This window comes from Homo sapiens, chromosome 17 (genome assembly GCF_000001405.40).
Source record: "Homo sapiens chromosome 17, GRCh38.p14 Primary Assembly".
Classification (NCBI taxonomy): domain Eukaryota; kingdom Metazoa; phylum Chordata; class Mammalia; order Primates; family Hominidae; genus Homo; species Homo sapiens.
Window position 1 is genome coordinate 36427370 of NC_000017.11, and position 22014 is coordinate 36449383.

Below are 22014 nucleotides of genomic sequence, written 5' to 3' on the forward strand. Positions count from 1 at the left end.
CGTCAGTCCCACCTTGGCCTAGGCCTCTATACAGCACAGATCACAGCTCATCCCATCCTGGCATTACACTGGCCTGTGCCCTGTCCTCAGGGTCACATCCGTCTCCCAGAAGCCGTGCAACCCTGGAAAACCCAGGTCTAACAGTCAGGTTCCTCCTCCGTGCATTAACAATGGCGTTGACGCCTGCTTTGCGGCACGCTGGGAGGGGAGAGGGAGGTGTATGCTGGAGAGCTCCCCAGGGGCAAGGCCTGGCTCTGCGTCACCCACTGTCAGATCCTGAGAGCCTGGGGCTGGCCCAGCACGTGGCCACCGTTCCCTAAGAGTTGGATTTCATCCCTCAGTGCTGAAGGCAGGGGATAGAGCTTAGACAGACCCCCTGCGTCCTGTCTTCTTTATCTACAGCTTTCTCTTCCTTGCCCCTTTCACGTGCACCCTGCAGAGCAGGTGTTCACTGAGCTTGAGCAAAATTCAAGCTAGAGCAGCTGATGGATCTTGAGGCCTAGATTCACTGTCAAAGTGTTTCTCAAACGGTGCTCTCCAGAACACCAAGGAAAACTCATTGACTGTGTAAGTCTGAAAATCCCTGCCCACCGGTCTACCTTTGTGTATGAGCAATCAGCTCTACCATTCAGCCCAGGTGTGTGTTTGCTGGACCATGTGGAGGAAGCTGAAGAGACGTGAGCTGAAGGCAGAGGGTGAGTCCAAGGTGGGATCTTGGGACAGGTACGAGAAGTTAGGCAAAAATGGGATAATTCTAGCCTTCATAACCTTAGATAATAGTTCACATTATTATTTAGTTAATAGAACTGTACCCACATTAAATTTCTTAAATTTTTTTAAGAGATAAAGTCTCACTCTGTCACCCAGGCTGGAGTGCAGTGGTGCAATCATGGCTCACTGCTTCCTGGAACTCGTGGGCTCCAGCAATCCTCCTGCCTCAGCCTCCTGACTAGGTGGGACTATAGGCACACGCCACCATGCCTGGCTAATTTCTTTGACTTTTCTCTAGAGACCGGGTCCACCTAGGTTTCCCAGGCTGGTCTCAGACTTCTAGACTCAAGTGAACCTGAACCTCCCACCTCGACCTCTCAAATTGCTGGGATTACAGGTGTGAGCCACCACACCCGGCCTAAATTTCTTATGTGCCATGGGACTGCAAAACATCATTATTAGGGGCAGCTGGATGGAAGGTATAGGAGGATACTATAGTGCCTTTTCAATATTTCTGTCTAAAATCTAAAATCATTTCAACAGGAAACATTTATTTCAAAACATGAAGGTGGTTATCCTTCCATGAGTTTGAAGTACAAAGGCAGGCTCACGGTGTCGTCAGAATTCAGAACGATGGTCGTGGGGCTGGGGGTGCTGGGAGGGGCTGGGCATGGTTGGCTTTGTGATCTGGGGTCTGGTGTGTTCCATCTCTGAATCTCTCTCGAGCTGCACTCTTTCTTAATACATTTTCATAAGTTTAACCAAAAATAAAACGAGGATGCGAAGCTTGCTTGGGTTGTTAAGCCTAGGGAAATTATCCAGCCATGAGCCCTGGCCCAGATGCTTCTAGAAGCCTGGAGGGAACTGAGAACTTTCCAAGTGGAGGCCGCAGAGGCAAGGCCCTGAGGTGGGAGCACACTGCTGTTCGTCCCTAGCTCTGAAGGGGGTGCCCTGGTCGGAATCAGTGCTGGGTGCAGCGAAAGCCGATCTCACCCGCTCCGCAGGGTGTTCAGGCCTGCCAGCAGGGGGCCAGCTGGTCCTCCTGGGATATGGCACGGACCCAGCAGCTCTGTCTGAAATCATAATGGCGGAACCAAGGGCCCTCTACGTCCAGGTCGGTTGGGAGGCGGGGCATGGAGTTCCACTGCAGGAATCTCCAGGAACCCTGAGGTCCTCCCTGAGCCAGGGCCGGGCTGGGCACACCCTGAGTGCCCACAGGGTAGGTGTCTTCCCGGACAGCCCCACCAGGACAGGGTGTGGAAGAACGAGGTGCCCGTGGCGGGGAAGCTGACCAAATGGGCCGCGGGAACCGGGCTGGTGGGCCTGGAGGGGCCTGTCTGTCCCCCTTGCAGAGGGTCTTCCCGCCACGTGAAGCCGGCACAGGCCTGGATGCCGACGACCCTTGCTCGGGTTTGGCTGAAAGGAAAACAGACGCGGTCAGCATCTCCAGTGAGCCCACGCAGGCCTTTCCGGGCTGGGCCCCACCTGCCTGCGTCTCTGGAGTCCTCGGGGTCTCTGTGTGGCCCCCGTGGCCTGACACCGAGGACACGCCTGTAGTCTGCTGATCCCAGAGGGAGGGGTGCATGCTGCCTGGCGTGGGGAAGCTGTCGTGGCATGGCGGGTGGCTCCTGGGACTGCCCCCAGGGTTCAGACTGGCTGGGGGCTTCCTGCCACACACCTTCGTCCCAGGGCTGTTGGGCCTGGGATACGGCCCCCAGTCAGAACTCAGGTGGGAGGGGCCTTGGATGTCACCCAGCCCCTTGTCACCTCACGTGGGGACCCGTCTCCGCAGTGGGTGATTGGGCCCGGACGTGGGTCACCCTCTGCCCTCCTGGGCTGCCCAGTCCATGCCAGGACTGACCGTTCCCACTTCTGGCTGAACTCTTGGCTCTGGCTCTGGGCCCGGGGTCCCGCCTGTGCCCTCTCCCTGAATGCTCTGTGGGTCAGGGACACGGATTCCCTTGTCTCCCTGGCTCCAGGCTTCTTGTCCTGGCAACCTTGGAGGAGCGTGCAGGAGTGAGGGGCCTCTGCTGCTCTCTGAGGCTGTGGGTGCTTGCAGGGAGGGGCGGGGTCTCCCACAAATGGGTCTGGGCTCGTCTAGTAACTTGGAGGGCCCTGCGAGGGGGAGAGGGAGACACCGTGGAAAGTGGGAGGGGGCTTGTTGGAGGGTCTTGCCCACATCCCCCTCCTGCGTGCACAGCATGTCCAGTATACACGCACTGAGCGCCTGCCCTGAGGACCGGTGGGCCTCCTGTACTTTCTTAGAGTCCAGGAGGAAGAGGAGGAAGAAAAGGTGAAGAGGAAGGCCCAGGTAGTAGGGTTGCGGGTCCCGGGCACTCCCCTACTACTGACTACCCCAGAGGGTGACATGGGAGGGGACATGGCACTGGAGCCCACCTGGGGGTGGCACGTCCCCCTTCTTTCTTGTTAGTTTCTTCATAGAGGCCCTAAGATGCTTGAGCACAGTGTCCTCATCCCTGGCCCAGGTATCAACGAACCGGTTGCAAAAACGTGCCCACGGGCCACACCTGGACGTCTTCGTGAGGCGCTCTAGGGACAGGGTGGATATCAGGCCAGGGGAGTTACCTGGGAATGGTCACAGCTCATACCCCGTGGCCACTTCAGTCTCCTACTGGGCGGTGCCGGATCCTTTTGTGGCCACCCCAGGTGTCCAGATATACACAGGAGACTGTGGCTGGGGGGCGATCCGGACAGGGAAGTGCTCACCACACTCTCGACTTTCATCTGGGTCATGTGGGGGATGGGCTCGGTGTCACAGTGTCCTGCCCAGCCCACCTGGCCAGACCTCCCTCTGGGCCAGAACAGAGGATCATGAGGACAGTGTGAGGAAGCTGCCCTCGGGCCAGTCGGGGTCTGACCCCAGGGCTCCCCAGGCCCCGCTGGGCACACGTAGACTTACTCTGCTGAACCTTAAAGGCGATTCTTGTTATCGGCATCAACGCCTGTTCGCCTTCTACCAGATACACGTCCCACAGGCGCAGGGTGAGCCCGAGAGAGATCTGTGGGGACAGCAGGTGTGAAAGAACCTGGTCCTTCCAGGCTGGGGCTGGTGGCTCGAGCTGCGCACACTGGGGCTTCAGTCTCCAGAGTCAGTGACCTTCCCCATGAGGGTCGCCTGAGCCCTCCAGGACGCTGGGTCAGACAAGGTCTTGAAGCTCCTCATGGGGGGCACTCATTTGAGTGGGGATGTGGCTCCTGGAGAGAGGGGCTTGCCCAGGGCTTGAGGCTTCCCTGAGCCCTCACAAGTCGGGTCCTGGCCCACTCTGCCCATGAGGCTGGGCCTGAGCCCCAGCCATGGCCCTGGGATGACCCCCCTTGGGCAGAGGGTTTTGCTTGTGTGTCCTTTGGGGACCCGCCTGAGCCTCCTGTGGGCTGGGAGTGAGCCAGACCCCCGGGCTGGGGAAGCAGGGCACTGCAGGGCAAGGAAGGTCCCTGAGCCAGGGTCTCCCTATGCCTCCTTACCCCGTCAATCAATATCCGGATGAGGCAGCCTAACGGGGAACACTGCCCACATAGATCTTTCTTGTCCTGATGGAAGCAACAGAGGTGCTCAGGCCACTGGGCTGCCCTAAAAACCTCCCTCTTCCAGGGCCTCTGAAGAGCCTTCCCCTAGTGCAGAACACTGGGCGGTGTCCAGAGCTCCCCACAACACTGTCACCTTCCCACACTCCCGGTGGACACACTGCCCTTTGCCCTGCTCTGCGGGAGCTGGGCCCCCATCCCTGTGCCTCTGTCTCCTCCAGGGCAGGAAAGGAAACCAACTCCCAGCCCATGGAGAACCCGACGTCCCAGGTCAGGCCCTGGCTGGGACTCAGCCAGTCACCAGCCCCACGAGGGGCTCCAGCCCCCCTGCTCCTACAGCCCCACGGGAGGCAGGGCCTCTGGGAAGAGCTGAGGGGACCATAAACTCACCTGATGCCCCATGGTCTTGGGTTGTGACGTGGCTACCACATGCTCCTGTTGGTCTTGGAGCCCCTGGACGGTCCCGCCATTTGGGCTGTGAAATCCTGAGAAGCCCCCAGCCCATCATGAAATCAGAGCCTTCCCCCAAGATGTGGAGCCATCAGCTGCAAGAGCTGGGCAGCTGGAGAGGCCCCCAAACCCCAAGGCCTCCCACCCTCCCCTCTGGTGACCCCAACATGCGGCCTTTACCCTGGGGAGGTGGGGCGGGAACATTCCCTGGAGCCTGGCTGGAGGTTCCCCTGGAGGCCTCCTGGGCCAGGGTGCAAAAAGGGCAAGCCTGACTTTCAGGCCACGACAGGGTGGCCGGAACTGGGTAGGCGCTGGGCTTCCCGGTCATCTCCTGGTAGTGGGGTCGGGCCAGGGAACAGGGGATGGGGAGATGCTGCCACCTGGGCTTGGTCGGCCCATTCGTGGGCACCGATGGCAGCAGGAGCCCGGGCAGCTGGAGGGCAGGAGGACTCTCAGGGAGGGGAGAGTCAGCTGCACAGAATCAGAGCCGGAGGGCGTGGCTCCAGGACACAGAGGGTGGCCACGGGGAGGATGAGATGCCCTCTGCTGATGGGGATGAGAGGCGTCTGATTTGGGCTTTGGGGGTCAGCCGTGGACTCCTGTGGGACCCTCAGCAGAGACATCCTAAAGTCTCCCAACAAGCTGGCGACACAAGGAGGGTGCCTTGGCTGAAAGCTGTGATCACCCGGCCAGGGTGGCCATCCCCAGGTCTGGCTGCAGGAGGTCCCCGGGGCAGCTGTTCACTTACCCTGCAGGGAGTGCCTCTCACTGGCCAGCAGCTGCACCAGTGCCCAGAATGCATCCTCCTCAGGAAGATAGAGGAGGAACAAGGCGGCGATGTGGCTCAGGTCCCTGCAGTAGCCCACCTCCTGCAAGAGCCAGAGTCACCATGGAAGGACATCACCTGGGAGGGCTGAGGTCACCTGGGAGGACTCATGTCATTGGAGAGGGCAGAGGTGACTGGAGAGGCTTCCTCTGAAGGAGAGGCTTCCTCTGAAAAAGAGGCTTCCTCAGGATGCACATTCATTTCATGACAAGAGCCAAGTCCATCAGGCACTTCAGCACCTTGTCCAAAATGTCTGCTGATAGCACCATCCTGTGTGCGATGCTGCCAAGCTCCTGGGCTTTGGGGCAGCCCCAGGAGGAGGGCGTCATTTCTTGTTCTGAGAAGTGGTGGTCAGGCCCAGGTGACACCAGGAGTCCGGGCCCTGACTCCTTTGTGTCTCAGCTTGACCCCTTGAGACCACCCCCTTCCTTGGAGGTTTATGCCAGCGGTGAGCTGACATCCTACCTCCTATATCCTGGTGGGTCACAAATACTAACTTTAAAAGAAGCAACGACACCCCCACCAGACACCCACTCCTGTCAATATGGAAATATGGCCCGGGAACCTCACTGCCGGGAATACTCACCGGGTTGTACTCCTCATATGCCAGGAGGATGTGGAGTAGTTCCCGCTGCCTAGGAAACAGAGAAAGGGGGCTTTGGTTTGTTTTGTGCAGATGTTGTTAATTTCACTTTGTCTACAAAGCCTAACAGCAAATCCCATTTCAGGTTCAGATGTTTCACCAGATAAGCAGTGAGCTCTTCAGGGCCTGAGACTCTTGAAGAAATGTTTCAGTAAAATCCACATCTGTGACATGCAAATAGCCCAGTTGTACAGTGACTTGCCTGATCCTTTTCACTCTGAATGATTTTTTTTTTTTTCAGTTTGCACACACGCCAGTTCAGTCTGTGGGTGTACAGTTCCTCCACGGTTCCAAACCAATGTGCAGAGTCTCCCGGCCACCGCTCCAGCCCCTCCTGGGGCGACTCCTTCATCCTCCAAGTCTCCAGGGTGGCCCCTATGCACCCAGCCTCTCCCCGATCCGTCAGCCCCTGGCCACCCAGACTGCTTCTCAGTCCCTGTGGTTTGGCCTTTTCCAGAATGGCCTAGGAATGGGAATCCTACTGTGGTAGCTTATTGGGTCTGGCTTCTGTCCCTCAGCAAAATGCATCTAGGATCCACCCACGTTCGTGCGGGCATCACCGGCTCGTTCCCTTTTCTCACTGGGTCTTCCGTTTGAAGGGAGGACCAGCCTTGCTCTCCCCATCCCCGTGTTGAAGGCCGTCTCCGAAGGCTCCGTGTGTGAGTGACGAGGAGTCAAGCAGTGAACCTGGCATGCTGGTTTCATGTGGATGTCAGTTTGCAAATCAGTGGGTTCAATATCTGTGACACTTTGGGGATGTGTGGTTCAAGTCCATGGAGCTTTGTGAGCCACTGCCCAACGGGCTGCCAACGTGGCTGTGCCATGTCATGTTCCCAGCGGACCTGGATGAGAGTTTCCAGGACCCCTAATTCTCCCAGCATTTGGTGCTGTCACTGTTGCCTGGGGGGGGCTCATGGGCCCTCTATCCTGCCACCCTCCCATGGGTCCTACCATGGGTCCCCATGGGTCAGGGAGAGCACCCTTCACCATTGTGCATGATTTTGTTTGCTGCCTTCCATCTCCTCAGGATCCTCCTGGGTTCTGGCCCCACATGTTCCAGTCTGGCCCAGGGCTTGGAACCAGGGAGGTGCTCGGTTCATGGTGCCGGCTGCTCCCTGGGCCGGGAGAGCTCTTGGCAGCTGTGTCATCCCTCCTGGGTGACCCTGGCTTCTGCTCCGGGGAAGCCCCCATCCCTCTCATTCACCCCATCTCTGCTGGGACCCTGTGGCTCCCGTAGGCTTACTTGGTTCCGTATCGATCCCTGAAGAATATATGCTTCCTTAATGTCCCGCTTACGTCCCGGTCGATGCGCTGGATGTGCTCAGATGACCTCTTGCCCTTCTCCTTCATGATCTGTAGGGCAGGGCCAAGAGGAGGAAGCAGTCTCAGAACAGATGGAAGACTCCCTGCCCCCAGTGGCAGTCAGCCCACAGTCAGCACTTCGGGAAGGAAGGACAGAAGGAAGGTTTCCTTCTGCAGAAAGCTGCATTTTGGCTTGTTACTGAAGCCAGGGAGGGTCACCAGAGCTGAGTTTGTCTGTGGTGACTGTGTCACCATCTGTGCCCAGGGTGTTCATCTGACCTTCACCCCCAGCTCCCCAGGGTGGTCTTGACGTTCCCTCCAGCTGGAGACCTGGGCCCCGACACGGCCTGTCCTGTTTGTTGTGCTCTGGCTGAGCGTACCTGGTATCTTCCGGGGTTTTTCAACTTCATTTCCTCAATGTTCAGGAGGACTGACCACATCGGGCCCCGGATGTTCATGGGCATTCCCTTGTACGCTCGATCTATGAGCTGTGGGCAGAAAACAATCTGGTGTCACAGGCCACAGGGTGACCCCAGTGAGGACCAGAGCCCGGGGATTCTGGAAATTGTCGGTTTTGGCCCCATGATTCCTCAGTAGAGGTGAGATCAAGCTGGGACAGGGTCTCCCTTCCCAGGACTGAAAGAGTGGATGGACACTCAGAGTCGAAACTCTGATCTGAACCTTTTCCTTCCTTCAGGTCACCAGGGCATCCCTAGCCTTGAGCTCCGGGTAGTCCCAGCCCTAGATTCAGATTCCCTCCCTGCAAGGTGACGCTTGCACGAATAGGCAGGAAATCTGGCGACCAGGCCTGCAGTCCTCTGGGCGAGGACAGTGTGCCGCCCACCCTCTGAGAGGCTGATGGTGCCAGGCCACAGCCATGGGTGCCTGTGCCCTGTCTCTGCAGAGAGTGCTTCCTCCCTCCACACGTTACCTTTCTGCTGCTTTTGTATTTCTCCCAGTCTCCCAGCATATCCACCCACTTGCTCTTTCGGCTGATCTCCCGCCGAATTTGCTGTCAAATGAGGCATGTTGGAGTTAGCGGAGCTGCCAGGCTTCCCAGAGCCGCCCGCGGATGCTGGGTCTTGGGCTCTGGAGCCCTGGTGGGAGCCAGCTGGAAGGAGCCAGGGAAGGGCAGACCTCAAGGGCTGAGAGCCTTTGAGCAAATGAGCACCAGTGGGCTGGCTTTGGGACCCCGGGATGTACCATCCTCAGGCCACAGACACACCAGTCTTAGGTCCCAGCCTCTAGGTGGGGTCCTGACACAAGCGCACAGCCACCCCCAAGCCAGGACTGTGGTTCTCCTTTTGGAATTTTATCAAACTGCCAAAGTGAACAGCAACCTGGGGTCAGGTCCAGCAGGGACTGCTGCCCCTCCCAGTGACAGCGTGTTGCCCTCACCCGCCACCGCTCAGGCCAGCTGCTTCCTCTGCCTCACTGACCACCCGCCCAGTCCCTACGTCCCTGGACCAGCCCCTCCACGCATCAGGCTCTTACCTTCGCCTCCCGCGCAGTCAGAGGAGGCAGCTCCGTCTCACTGTAAGGCAACCCAGGCAGAGCTGAGGAACTGCACGGGGCCTGGAGCGGCCCCAGCCTGGGTGCCGACCCCCAGAAAGGACTGGCTCTGTCCCTTTCCAGCTCAGGGCTCAGCCCAGGAGAAGGCACAGGGAAGGGAGGACAAGGGCCTTCCTGTGGGGCTGACTCCCAGGAGGGGCAGGACCTGGGAGAAGAAGGAGTGTAGGGACAGCCTGGCCGGGGTTACTGGGGCCCCTGGCGTGGGGGGCGGTCAGGCTGCCCAGTGGGGCTGCCCGTCCTGGACTCGAGGTGGTGCTTTCTGCTGGAGCTGAGAAAGGTTAGCCCTGAGATGGGATGGGGGCCGCCCAGGGTGGGCGACCGGGCCCTGACAGGAGTCCCTCAGGGAGTGACCACATCCCCCCGCCAGGGTCAAGGGAGCCTGCCCTGAGACCTGCCCGGTGTACTCTGGCTGCACCAGGGGCCCACCCCACTTGACAGCCCCAAGGCCCTTGCAGGTTCTGACCTCCCAGCATCCACCTGCCTCTCCCTGCACCCGAGCCACACACCCTGCGTTTCAGAAGTGGCACGGCTCGTCAGCTCCCTCCCGCCCTACCTCCCCAGGGATCCTCTGTCTCTCCATCCTGTGATCCCTGAGGGATGGGCTCCTGGCTGGGCTCCTCTTACCCGGCCCCAGATCCCTTCCCAGCACCAGACCCAGGTCTTTAGCCGCGAGCCCTGCTGCCTCCCTGGCCTCACCGTGAGATGCCCAGAACGGGGCCCTGCCCATCTTCTCCCCCGTTCTCCTAGGGCTACAGCCCCCATTGTCACCATGCCTTTTCCCCTCACGGGACAGTGAGGGCTGTAGCTCTAGGGGAATGGGGGAGAACAGGGGCAGGTGGGCCCTCAGAGACCTGCTGGACAACAGCCCTGAGGCTGGGCCAGGCGTCCCCTCACCCTGTGGCCATAACCCTTGCATCTCACCGGGGTTGTCTCCAAGTAGACAGGGCCAGACCCTCAGGCTGCCCCGCTCCTCTTGTGCTCACTTGCCGACAGAACTGCTGAGCGCCCAGGGGCCTGACCTAGCCCAGTCTCCATTCCCACCGGCTCCCTAGATGGGCCCCACACCTCTGGCCTAACAACCTCGGGCTGGACCTGCAGGGGAGTCAGGGAGGAGTTCTGTCCCTGGAAAGGAGGTTGACCCGACCTGGTGAGACATGTCCTGCATCAGAAAGGCCTTTCTAAAAGCAAACCCATCCCTGAGCTGAGACAGGTGCTTTAGGGGTGAGGGGAGTGCAGAGGACTCACTGTACAATCCCCAAATGATCGACGTTGTTGTTGTAGCTTCGAAAAGGCTTAGGCCCCTTGTCCTCTGGCAGCCCAGCTCGGTGTCCCTGTAGCCCAGAGGGAGCCTTGCTGAGGGGTCCAAGGTAAAGGGTGCAAGGGCCTGGGGGCATTGGCCACCCGTCCCTGCCCTGTGCTCCTAGGGAGCCCAGGACCCTTTGACCAGGGCACACTGGAAGAGGCCTCCCTCCAAGAAGCAGACCGACTTGTACCTTTTCGTATTTCATAATGATGTCCTCTCGCTCTTGTGCCCACCAACTACCCGCGACCTCTACCACGTCCATCCTGTGAGACAGAATTGTCTAAAGGTCACACTGTACGCGGCGGCTTCGGAGAACACCTGAACCGCTCTCGCCGGGCTCCCAGATGCTGGCTGGCTGCGTAACCCCCATTCCACCGCCGCCCCCAGGGAAAAAGGGGCCAGACCCAGTGGCCCACAGCTGCTCCAGTCTCTGGAGTCTCAAGTCCCAAGCAGGGGTGGGCATCTTCCCAAGGACTTGAGTACAGTGGGACCTAGACAGAGAATCCTGTTGTCCCCCAATGCCATGAAATGGGGACACACCGGCCCCAGCAGGTTGAATGGTTTCCACCTGCCAAGGGTGAAGGGCCCATGATGGGCTATTCCAGGGATGTGGAGGCAGACTGGGGTCAGCGACCAGAGGTCTCTGTGCAATCGGCCTCCTGGGATGCTCAGGGCCTCAGAGATGCCCAGTTTCCTACAGGGAGCAAGATCTCTCCCGACTGCTCGGTTCTACTCCGCTCATCACTTTGGCTACCGTGGCTCTTCAGTCTGAACAGTGAAGCCACTTTAGGAATAACGCCTGTTGAGCAGGAGGGTGTTGGGTTTGGGGGATGAGGAAGATCTATTGTACGCATGGAAACCACGTCTCTCGCGGAGGGACTGTGGAGTCCACCATTCTGAGCCGTCCCAACAGGAGGAGGCTTCATTTTCCTGGGTCACTGAGGAAGAACAGTGGGTCCTTGGTCCTGGAGAACAGCTGGATGGACCGTCCCTCCTGGGAATACTCGAGGCAAAAGGAGGGCAAGGCCTCAAGAGGACCACGCAGAGCAAGAAATACCTGGGGAGAACCCTAGTGCCCGGACCCCTTTGAACACAAGGGAAGATAGTCTCCCCTCAGCCAGCCCTCCAGGGCTCCTTCATTTTCCACAGCTGCCCAAGGGCAGCAGGCTCCCCCGGACAAGGGACCATGTGTGTTCAGTGGGGCCCACAGCGACCATCAGGACCCAGCTTAGGGCACAGAGGTGTTCTGAGGACCGTCAGTGGATCTGTACCAGTGGCTCTATACCAGTGGCTCTGCCAGGACCAGGCTCTGCCCCATCGGGATGGGAAACCTGGGCAGATTTGGGATCTAGGGCAGGGAGGTCACAGGGTTCAGGCCTGAATTCCAGCACAGCACACGGCAGGGCTGAGAGCAAAACTCAGGGTCATGTCCGGATTCCCAGGCCGGTTACTGCCTCTCTGACCCCAGACGTCTCATCTGTCGAATGGGGACATTTGGGAACAGCACCCACTCTACGAAGCCACCATGGAGACGAAAGAGCCAATCGTCTACACGGGCAGTGTAGAACGGGCGCCTGGTGAGTGCTCAGGGATGACCCTCCTCGGTAGCTGCCCCACAGAGGCCAACACCGCCCGCACCGTAGCCACTGTCCCCAAGTCCGCCTGGAGGGAAGAGAGCAGGTCACGCTCACCTGATTCTGATGAATCAGCTGGCCTGGGTCATGCCTCTCAGGGAGAAAACCTTTGAGTCCACAGAGCTGCTCACAGATACCACTGCCTGTGTGTAACTGCTGTAGACCACTGACGCAGGCCAGAGAGCAGATAGGTGCTAAGCACCAGTGACATTCTGAGGTCATGGCACGAATCACAGTGGGGCCTTGCCCGGGTCAGCAGCACCCAGAGTCAGGGTCCTCCGCTGCCTGAGGCGTCAACATGCCTGCCTGCAACGTGTTTGTGCACGTGCGTGCACACGTGTATGTGGGTAAACATGTCTGTGCACATGTGTGTTGCTTCTCTGGCCAGGCCCGGCTGCCCCACTCATGTGTGCACCCAGTTCCTCATCACTGTCACCCCCGAGGCCCAGGGCCAGCATCAGAGCATCCATGGCTGCTCCCTAACCTCAGCCCTCCCCGCCCAGGGTGGTCGTGGGATACACATAGGGGTGGAGGGAAGTGACTGCTGCTGTTGGATCTCAGAATACAAAAGCTAATACTATTACCTAATGGTCTTTTTAGTGTATCTAATGGTATCGCTTTTTCATTTCTGATATTTTAACTGGGTATTTCTCTCCATGACCCTTGGATATTCTAGCTAGAGGATCCTGTGGGGAAAGTGCCGAGCACACAGTAGGGGCTCACTCTTCTAGACATGTTATCTAAAACCTGGTTCATCTGTCCTTCCACGCAGGGCCTAGGGGATGCCAAATTCCAGGGTCCAGAAAGAGCTTGGGATAAAATGAAACTTCAAGGGGACGGCTTTGACCTGGGCTGAGTCTGTCTGTGCCATCCAACTGGAGTCTCAAGTCCTGAGGCAGGACGTCCAGATGCCCCAGTGCAGGGCCCTCCTGATCAACACCTGCTCCCCTGTACTCATTAGCAACCTCACCCACCCTACTCTCAAAGCACACTTGGCTCTCGTATCCAGGAGCTCTGCATCTATAGGTTCAGCAACAGCAGATGGAAAATATTCAGAAAATAAATTGGATGGTTATGTTTCTATTGAACATGTGCAGACTTTGTTCTTGTCATCATTCCCTAAAGAATACAGTATCACGACCATTTATGTAGCATCTGCATTGTATTACACATCATAATCTAGTAACGGTCTAACGTATACGGGAGGATGCGCATAGCTTATACGTAAATACTAGGCCATGTTCTATCAGAGACTTGAGCATCCATGGATTTTGGCATTCCCGGGGACCCTAGAACTAATCCTCCATGGATACCAAGGGATGACTGTATATACTCACTCAGGAAGGCTTCTCATTGGAGGAAGGGCCCGGTTCAGGACAGACAGGGACATCATCCCTGGACTACTGTCCATCCATCCATTCATCCATTGGCACCACCCTCTAGGACTGTCCCAATGACAGCCCTAGCAAGTGGAGATAAGAAAAAAGACTGGCTCAAATGGTACAGCTTTGAGGTCTTGGAAGATGTTGCACCAGTATGAGAATAGGGGGTCAGTTTCCTCCAGGATCCAGAAAGCATATCAGGCAGGCTCGGGGAGAGGAAAGGAACACGGCCTCTCCAGCAGCCACACAGGCCTGCAGTAGGATGGGGCTGGGGCTGGGGCTGGGGCTGGGACTGGGGCTGGCCCCGTTTATCACTTGGGCCTCATGAGGGGAAAAGAAAGGACAGGGGGCAGAGGAGGAGCATGGGGGCAGCGGGTTGCCTAAGGAGAAGGCGCCTCAGGGAAGGGGTATTAGTTTGTTTTCACACTGCTATAAAGAAATACTTGAGCCTAGGTAATTTATAAAGGAAAGAGGTTTAATCGACTCCCAGTTCAGGGAACTTACAGTCATGGCAGAAGGCGAAGGGGAAGCAGGCACCTTCTCCACAAGGCGGCAGGAGGGAGTGAGCGGAGAAGCAGGAAGTGCCACACTTTCAAACCATCAGCTCTCCTGAGAACTCCCTCACTATCAGGGGAGCAGCAGGGGGGAAACTGTCCCCAGATCCCATCCCCTCCCACCAGGTTGCTCCCTTGACACAGGAGGATTACAATTCCAGATGAGATTTCGGTGGGGACACAGAGCCCAACCTGTGAGGGTCTCAGTCTATCTTGCAGCTCCCCTGGGGCTGGGGCTGAGTACAGTTCTGCTGGCCCTGCTCTACAGCACGTGGGGACTCTGCCTGTGTGCCCCCATCTGCTCTTCCTGGGGATGGTGGCTGCTTCCTCAAGAGGAGGGTGGATCTGCTCTCCTGCCCACCCCTCTCCAGGGCCTTTTGGAGCCCTGGCCACGTCCTCCCCAGGTAAGGGCAGGAAACCGGGCTCCTTGCCCTTCTTGCTGCTTGGGTGACAATCCTGGGGTCATCCATAGGCCCCATCACTGTTCCCGCTTCTAAATGGAGGGTATTTTGGCACATCTTCCTGGCGGGGTCCGGGGCCTCATCCCTGTTATTTATTCTATCTTGGTAAAGCCAGGTTAAGACATCTGGGCAAGGAGATAGTAGAGTGGCCCCCAGGAAGGGTGGGTGGAGGGCCTGGCCTTTGGGCTTGCCTGGAGCAGGGTGGGAGGGGGCAAGGTTACCAGGAAGCAGGGCTGTCAGGGCCAAAATCAGGAGGCGGTGATAATGCTGGTGGGGGGACAGGGCTGTGTGCTTGGCTTGGGGTGGGGCATGAGAGCCAAGGTTTGTCAGCACGCAGAGGGGTGGCTGACTCATGGACTAGGGGCTATGGAACCCAGAGGCTGCCCTTAGTTCCTGGATCCTGGGAGACTTCTGGAGCCTGGGTGTGGGGCAGCCTAGGGGTGGAGGTGGGGCAGACAGGGGTAGGGGTAGGAGAGGAGGACTTGCATGGCAGGGTGCAGGGTAGGAAACCAGCCAGGGGCCAGTTTGCATTGGCGGCTCCCATCCCCATCCCCACCCCCAAGCCCACCCCTACCCCCACCCTGCTGCAGAGATGGGCCTGGGCTGCTGTCCTCTGCTTTGGCCTCAGCAGATCACACGATGGAAGCTGGCAGCCCCGTGGGCACCACTCGAGCCAGCTGTGACCTGCAGTTTCTGCTTCCTGGAGTGTGGGGCGCCCACTCAGGAGAGCACGGCACACCCCACACCCCTCATTTTGAGGATGCTGGGAGGTGGGGACCAAGGTCCTGCAGCCCTCTGCTTGCGCTATGAAAGGTAGCCTAGGAGTCCTGTGTCCGCCCATCCACGTGGGGCCCCAGGAGCCTGAACAGTGGCAGGCAGAGAGATGAGGAGGGTGAGAGAAGTGGAAAAGAAGGAGAGAGAAAGAGAGATGGGGAGAAGGGAGTGAGATAGAGAGAGAGAGGATGAGAGATAAGGAGAGAGACAGAGGAGGCTGAGAGGAAAAGGAGCGAGAGAGACAGGCAGAGAGACACAAAAGGCAAAGAGAGAGACAGGGAGAGACGAGCATGAGTAGGAGGTCGGATCACTCTCGATCCCAGTCCCCAGTGAAAACCGTAGGTCGCCATCACCTAACTACGCGTGCAATAAAGTCTTCTGCCTGCTGCTTACAGCCCGAGAACCCTTTTCCGAGAGAATAAAATCTTTGACCGTTGCCCTTTCTCGCCGGAGTTTGCTCGTGTCTTCTGATGAACTGTGATGTCTCACCTATCGCCTTCCTGGGCTCAAGGATCCACGAAAAGCCGACGACTCTTTTGGGGAGGCTCTGCAGTGCCTTCATCTCACTAGGCTCCCCAGGAAGCTTGCGAACTTGGCTTGAGCCCTAAGCAGCCGAGTATGTGCCGGGCCTCTGCTTCTCTCTTTCAGTAAGAGGGAGAACCAAGAAAGAGACTGAAGCATGGTCTGCAGAGAAGGCACTTGTGCAAACACCAGGAGAATGAGGGGCCTGAGTTGTCTTCATTTCTCCTAAAGACACGCATTTCCTCCCAGACCACCCTAGTGAGGGCATGAAGCACAGCGTGTGTGTGTGTGTGTGTGTGCGCGCGTGTATGTGTGTGTTGCAGGGCTTTACAGTGGACAGGATGTGGGAGGGCAGCTGCAGCTCCAAGCTGCAAGTCTTTCTGATAGAATGGTTAAGATTCCCTGGACCACAGAAAGAGTGTTTTCATTTGCACCTATTTTTATTAGCATTTAAAGCTGTATTCTTCGTAGCATGTGAAGCTTAAGTTGCTTAACTATTCTTAGAAACATTTACACCAGCGGTCCCCAAACGTTTTGGCACCAGAGAGCAGTTTTCTTGAAGACAACTCTTCCACGGACCTGGGAGAAGGGGAAGGGATGGTGCAGAGATGATTCGAGCCCATTACATTTATTGTGTGCTTTATTTCTATGATTATTTCACTGTAATATATAATGAAATAATTACACAACTCACCATAACATAGAATCAGTGGGAGCCCTGAACTTGTTTTCCTGCAACTACATGGTCCCATCAGGAGGTGATGGGAGACAGTCACAGGTCATCAGGCACTAGGTTCTCATAAGGAGCATGCAATCTAGATCCCTGGCATGCTCAGTTCACAGTTGGGTTCTATGAGAATGGAACGGCACCACTCATTTGACAGGTGGCAGAGCTCACGCGGTAATGCGAGGGATGGGGAGCGGCTGTTTCTACAGATGAAGCTTTGCTCCCTGGCTGGCTGCTCACCTCCTGCTGTGCAGCCTGGTTCCTAACAGGTGGGGACCCCTGATTTACCCAGTAAAAGAAACACATTTTTATGTCAATTGAAATTATTCACCCTGCACCACCCAAAATTATCTTGCATACCTACACCCATCCAAGGGTCCCGTAGCACACTTTGGGAGCTGTAGACAGTAAGCCTGGAGCTCCACTGAGCATTCCTTCTCTCCACCATCTGTGGGCTAACAGGCTGTGTTAGTTTCCTAGGGCTGTTTTACAGTACCACAGACTGGGCACCTTCAGCAACAGAATGTTACTGTCTCACAGTACTGGAGGCCATGGGTCCAAGATCAAGGTGTCATCAGGGTGGGTATTTGTTTTCCACTGGACTGTTGATACATTCTTAGAAGGTTTTTGGTTGCTGTTCACGTTAATTTCTCTTCCTTTCTGCAATTGTTCTCTTTCAGTACTCCCTGATATTTTTCTTCTTGAAGAAGTAGCTAGTTAATTTTGTATTTTAAAATTCTTCCCCTCACCCCAAGAACTTCTGCCTTCATAATTGGTTCTCTCCTCATATTTATTTTATACAAGTTATGTGGCTGATTACATTGTTTCTGTCTGTACAGATGGAGAGTTAAGGAATAAAGAGGACAGACAGACTAGATTACCTCAAACACTGAAATGCTATGATTTGTCCGAAGTCATACACGCATTATCTGACCAGACATATGTGCTTTTTCTCTAGAAGCATTTTGTCGTTTTGAATCAAAAGGTCTTCTGAATCTACCTTAATGAAGTTGACAACTTTCAGAGGTTTTCAGTGGTGAAGAGAAACTTGGACAAGGAGATAACTTCCACAAACAGAAAAAGCCTCATCTCTTCTGGATTCCTTTAATGCCAGTGGTCATCACCAGGGGCAGATTAGCCACCTTTTCCCCGGGCTGGGACCTCCACCTTCTCCTCTACAGGTGTATCACCTTAGAAATCTTCTGCATCTCACTGTCACCCAACACATTTTCTCCTTCCAAGCCTCTGCAGTCTCACGAGTTTGTCTGTATTTTTCTTCTTATAACCTGCCTTGCTACCCTAGCCAGCCTGGATCTCATAGGAGATTAATGGAAATACTCCCAACATTGGGCCTTTCCTGTGCCCGTCTTCCTGCTGTATCCTGGCAAAATGCCAGCCCAATCCACAGTCTGTTGTTCTACTTCTGTATCTGAAGGCTAAAGAAAAAGCACCTAGTCATACAGATTAACCCTGTTTTAATGTAACTATTCCATAATTTCAACCTCATCTGAGTACTCAGCCTTGCCTGATGCCTTTGCTTGCCCAGCCCTGTTTAGTTCTCTCATTCTCTTCAACATCTTTAGCAAATCTTCTCCTTCCCCGTCTTGACCTTCCTGTCTCTTCACCTGATACAGAGGTTCTTAGCTCCTACTTCGTTGACAATTTTAAGGTTTTGCTCTCTTCTGTAAATTGACCTATAGGAGTATCCTTCTTTACCCCTTTCCTGTGGTTTTCAGGGGATGGAATATTTGTCCTGAGAAGGCCAATACATCCATCGGACACGTGTCTCTATCCCCATTTGCTACGTAAGTATTTGACTTCAGCCATCCGGTACACTGGCTCTGTCTCTGGTTTACACCTGCTGTCTCTGTGTCAGCACTCATTTCCGCTTTAGCCCATTGACTTTTCCCTCACAACGCTACTGAACTTGTCAATAGGCACATCAGTGATCTCCTACATGCCAAGTCTCATGGACATTTTTCTTCATGTTGTTTGACTGCTGCTCTGCCTGACTGGATATTATAATCTCCTTTCCTTGAAACCCTAGGCTACTGTAGCACTACACTTTACTGGTTCTCCGCTTACCTTCGTTACATCTCTTTTGTTTTTTTTTTTTCCCGGATCCCTCCAGATGTGGCCTAGGAATCCTTTTAAACACAGTGCTCCAGGCAGAAGTTAGTTGGAGGTAGTTCACAAGATGCAATTTATTTGCCATCCACCCTTGCATTTCAGCTCCATTATTTGTCCTTGCCATGCCTATCTATAAAAACACTTTCTCCTTCCCAGAGATGGCAGCTAACAAGACCTAGCAAAAGAAATGGGAATTTTCATTCACAATTTCATAGGGAGAGCAATTGGTAAGATTATTTTACTGCCAAGGGTAATAAAATTAATGAGAGAGTTGAAGAAAGAGGCATGAATTCTGAAACTGTCTAGAACCATCTAAGAGGTAAAGCTGAGGAGTTTTATCCGTATTTGTAGGCTGTGATTATTTTCATAGAAGTACTCTCTGATTTATGGGTATGTCACTGATTACCACTAGAATTGCAGATTGGGCACATTAAGCACATCAGCGTAAAAATCCTTGACATTTTGGCCGGGCGCGGTGGCTCACGCCTGTATTCTCAGCACTTGGGAATGCCGAGGTGGGCGGATCACAAGGTCAGGAGTGTGAGACCAGCCTGACCAACATGGTGAAACCCCGTCTCTACTAAAAATACAAAAGTTAGCCGGGTGTGGTGGCAACGTGCCTGCAATCCCAGCTACTCGGGAGGCCGAGGCAGGAGAATCGCTTGAACCTGGGAGGTAGAGGTTGCAGTGAGCCAAGATCTCACTGCTGCACTCCAGCCTGGGCAACAGAGGGAGACTCTGTCTCAAAAAAAAAAAAAAATCGAAAAAATCCTTGACATTTTAAAAATACCTCTGGCAGGGTTTCAGTGTAGTCATGATATTTAAAATATTACCATGATTTGTCAGTTTCTTAAGTATAATTTTGTTTCGTCGCACGTATGATAAGAACATACAGACTTCTTGCTTGGGGCATTGGCTCATGCCTGTAATGCCTATAATCCCCGCTACTCAGGAGGCTGAGTCGGGAGGATTGCTTGAGGTCAGGACTTTGAGACTAGCCTGGACAATAGAGCAACACTCTGTCTCTTACAAAAAACATAATCATAAATAGATTTCTTGGTTTGTGGGGTTAACTTTTTAAATTTTCCTCTCATTAATTTGCCACATTTTTAAAAAATTTTTTGAGATGGAGTCTCACTGTGTCACCCAGGCTGGAGTGCAGTGGCACGATCTCGGCTCACTGCAACCTCTGCCTCTCAGCTTCAAGCGATTCTCCTGCCTCAGCCTCCCGAGTAGCTGGGACTACAGGCGTGTGTCACCACGCTCGACTAATTTTTTGTATTTTTTTAGTAGAGGTGGGGTTTCACCGTGTTAGCCAGGATGGTCTCGATCTCCTGACCTCGTGATCTGCCTGCCTCGGCCTCCCAAAGTGCTGGGATTACAGGCGTGAGCCACCACGCCTGGTCTAATTTGCCACTTTTATCTGACTAAGATACCTTAACTTTATTTATTCCTTGGATTGGTAATACAGTGAAATGATTAGGGCAGGGTTTTGAAACCAGACAGATCTGGGTTCAAATCCTGGTGTGGGCTGTAGATGTTGGGGGCAATGGCCCTAAATCCTCTGACTTTCCAGTGATTTTTCAATGGGTAAAATAACCCTTACTTTGTGGAATGTTGCAAAGATTAGAGAGGATGTATATAAAATGTTTACCTATTACAGTGCTTGATATGTAGAAGATGAATTCTACAATTACACTGACCCATTTTGCCCATTGCGGCTTTAGAATAGAAAAGTATACTCATACACTAGAATTGTGCACCTAGGGCTAAGTGACTCCAGCCCTGTGGAACCCTTCAATGCCAAAATGGCATGTAGGACTAGATAGATGAATGTCACCTAATCCTGACTGTCTATTAAAACTCATTGTGTTGGGCCGGGAATGGTGGCTCACGTCTGTAATCCCAGCACTTTGGGAGGCCGAGGTGGGCGGATCACGAGGTCAGGAGATCGAGACCATCCTGGCTAACATGGTGAAACTCCGTCTCTACTAAAAATACAAAAAATTAGCCGGGCGTGGTGGCGGGCGCCTGTAGTCCCAGCTACTAGGGAGGCTGAGGCAAGAGAATGGCGTGAACCCGGGAGGCAGAGCTTGCAGTGAGCTGAGACCGCGCCACCACACTCCAGCCTGGGTGACAGAGCGAGACTCGGTCAAAAAAACACAAAAAAAAACCCAAAAAAACCAACCAAACAAAAAAAAACTCCTCACTGTATTTTATTATTATTATTTTCAAGATGGAGTCTTGCTCTGTCGCCCAGGCTGGAGTGCAGTGGGGCGCAATCTCGGCTCGCTGCAACCTCTCCCTCCCAGGTTCAAGGGATTCTCCTGCCTTAACCTCCCGAGTAGCTAGGATTACAGGCACCTGCCACCACGCCCAGCTAATTTTTTGTAGTTTTAGTAGAGATGGGGTTTTGCCATGCTGGCCAGCCTGGTCTCCAACTCCTGATCTCAGGTGAACCACCCGCCTCGACCTCCCAGAATGCTGGGATGGCAGGCATGAGCTGCCGGGCCTAGCCAAATCTGAAATACGTTTGATGCCAGGGTAGCCTTAGTGGAGTGAAACGCTTATTAACAATGAGAGTATTTGAAAAATATGAGATATACAATCATCAGAATTGAATGACCTTTCTAAGGAATGGTTTTATCCTAATGAAGTAATGATCAGAGTCGGGCGAGGTGGCTCACGCCTGTAATCCCAGCACTTGGGGAGGCTGAGGTGGGCGGATCACTTGAGGTCGGGAGTTCAAAACCAGCCTGGCCAACATAGCGAAACACCGTCTCTACTAAAAATACAAAAAAGTACCGGGTATGGTGGCGCGTGCCTGTAATTCCAGCTACTCGGGAGGCTGAGACAGGAGAATTGCTTGAACACCGGAGGCGGAGGTTGCAGTGAGCCGAGGTCGCGCCACTGCACTATAGTCTGGGAGCAAGACTCCGTATCAAAATAAATAAATAAATAAATAAATCCGATTATAACATCTGTGAATGGAATAATTTGTAGACTCTTGGCATGCAAGAATTTGATGTTAGCTTTCTCAACCGTTTATGAACCGTAAAGCTTCATGATGTGTATGTTCTGTTGAGATGGAAACTTCAACGCTGTGTGCGGTGGAGGCGAGGTTGAGGACGTCGCTTGGCGGATGAGTAAGCCTCACCCATCTGGACAGCAGCATTTACACTTCAACTTCACTTTTAACTTCGTATTTGCTGCTTGTTTTTATTTACGTGGTAACTAGCATGAATGATTCACATACACACATATGTATTCTTTGTCTCTTTGTGAAATATTACACCAAGGAGAAAACACCATTATGGGATAATTCTAGCCTTCATAACCTTAGATAATAGTTCACATTATTATTTAGTTAATAGAATTGTACCCACATTAAATTTCTTAAATTTTCTTAAGAGATAAAGTCTCACTCTGTCACCCAGGCTGGAGTGCAGTGGTGCAATCATGGCTCACTGCTTCCTGGAA

The 22014-nt window shown here is 54.4% G+C and overlaps 1 protein-coding gene across 1 annotated transcript; it reads right to left on the reverse strand.

Annotated features, from left to right (window-relative positions):
- Positions 1-1242: 1242 nt before the first annotated feature.
- On the reverse strand, positions 1243-12152 carry TBC1D3F (TBC1 domain family member 3F). Its single transcript, NM_032258.5, is given in 15 exon segments — positions 1243-1723; positions 1725-2127; positions 3109-3261; positions 3632-3731; positions 4195-4260; positions 4645-4739; positions 5453-5573; positions 6117-6165; positions 7417-7526; positions 7856-7963; positions 8407-8487; positions 8970-9009; positions 10293-10378; positions 10541-10613; positions 12042-12152. Coding segments are annotated over 14 exon segments (1650 nt in total). The 5' UTR covers position 10613; positions 12042-12152; the 3' UTR covers positions 1243-1557.
- Between the last annotated feature and the right edge of the window lie 9862 nt (positions 12153-22014).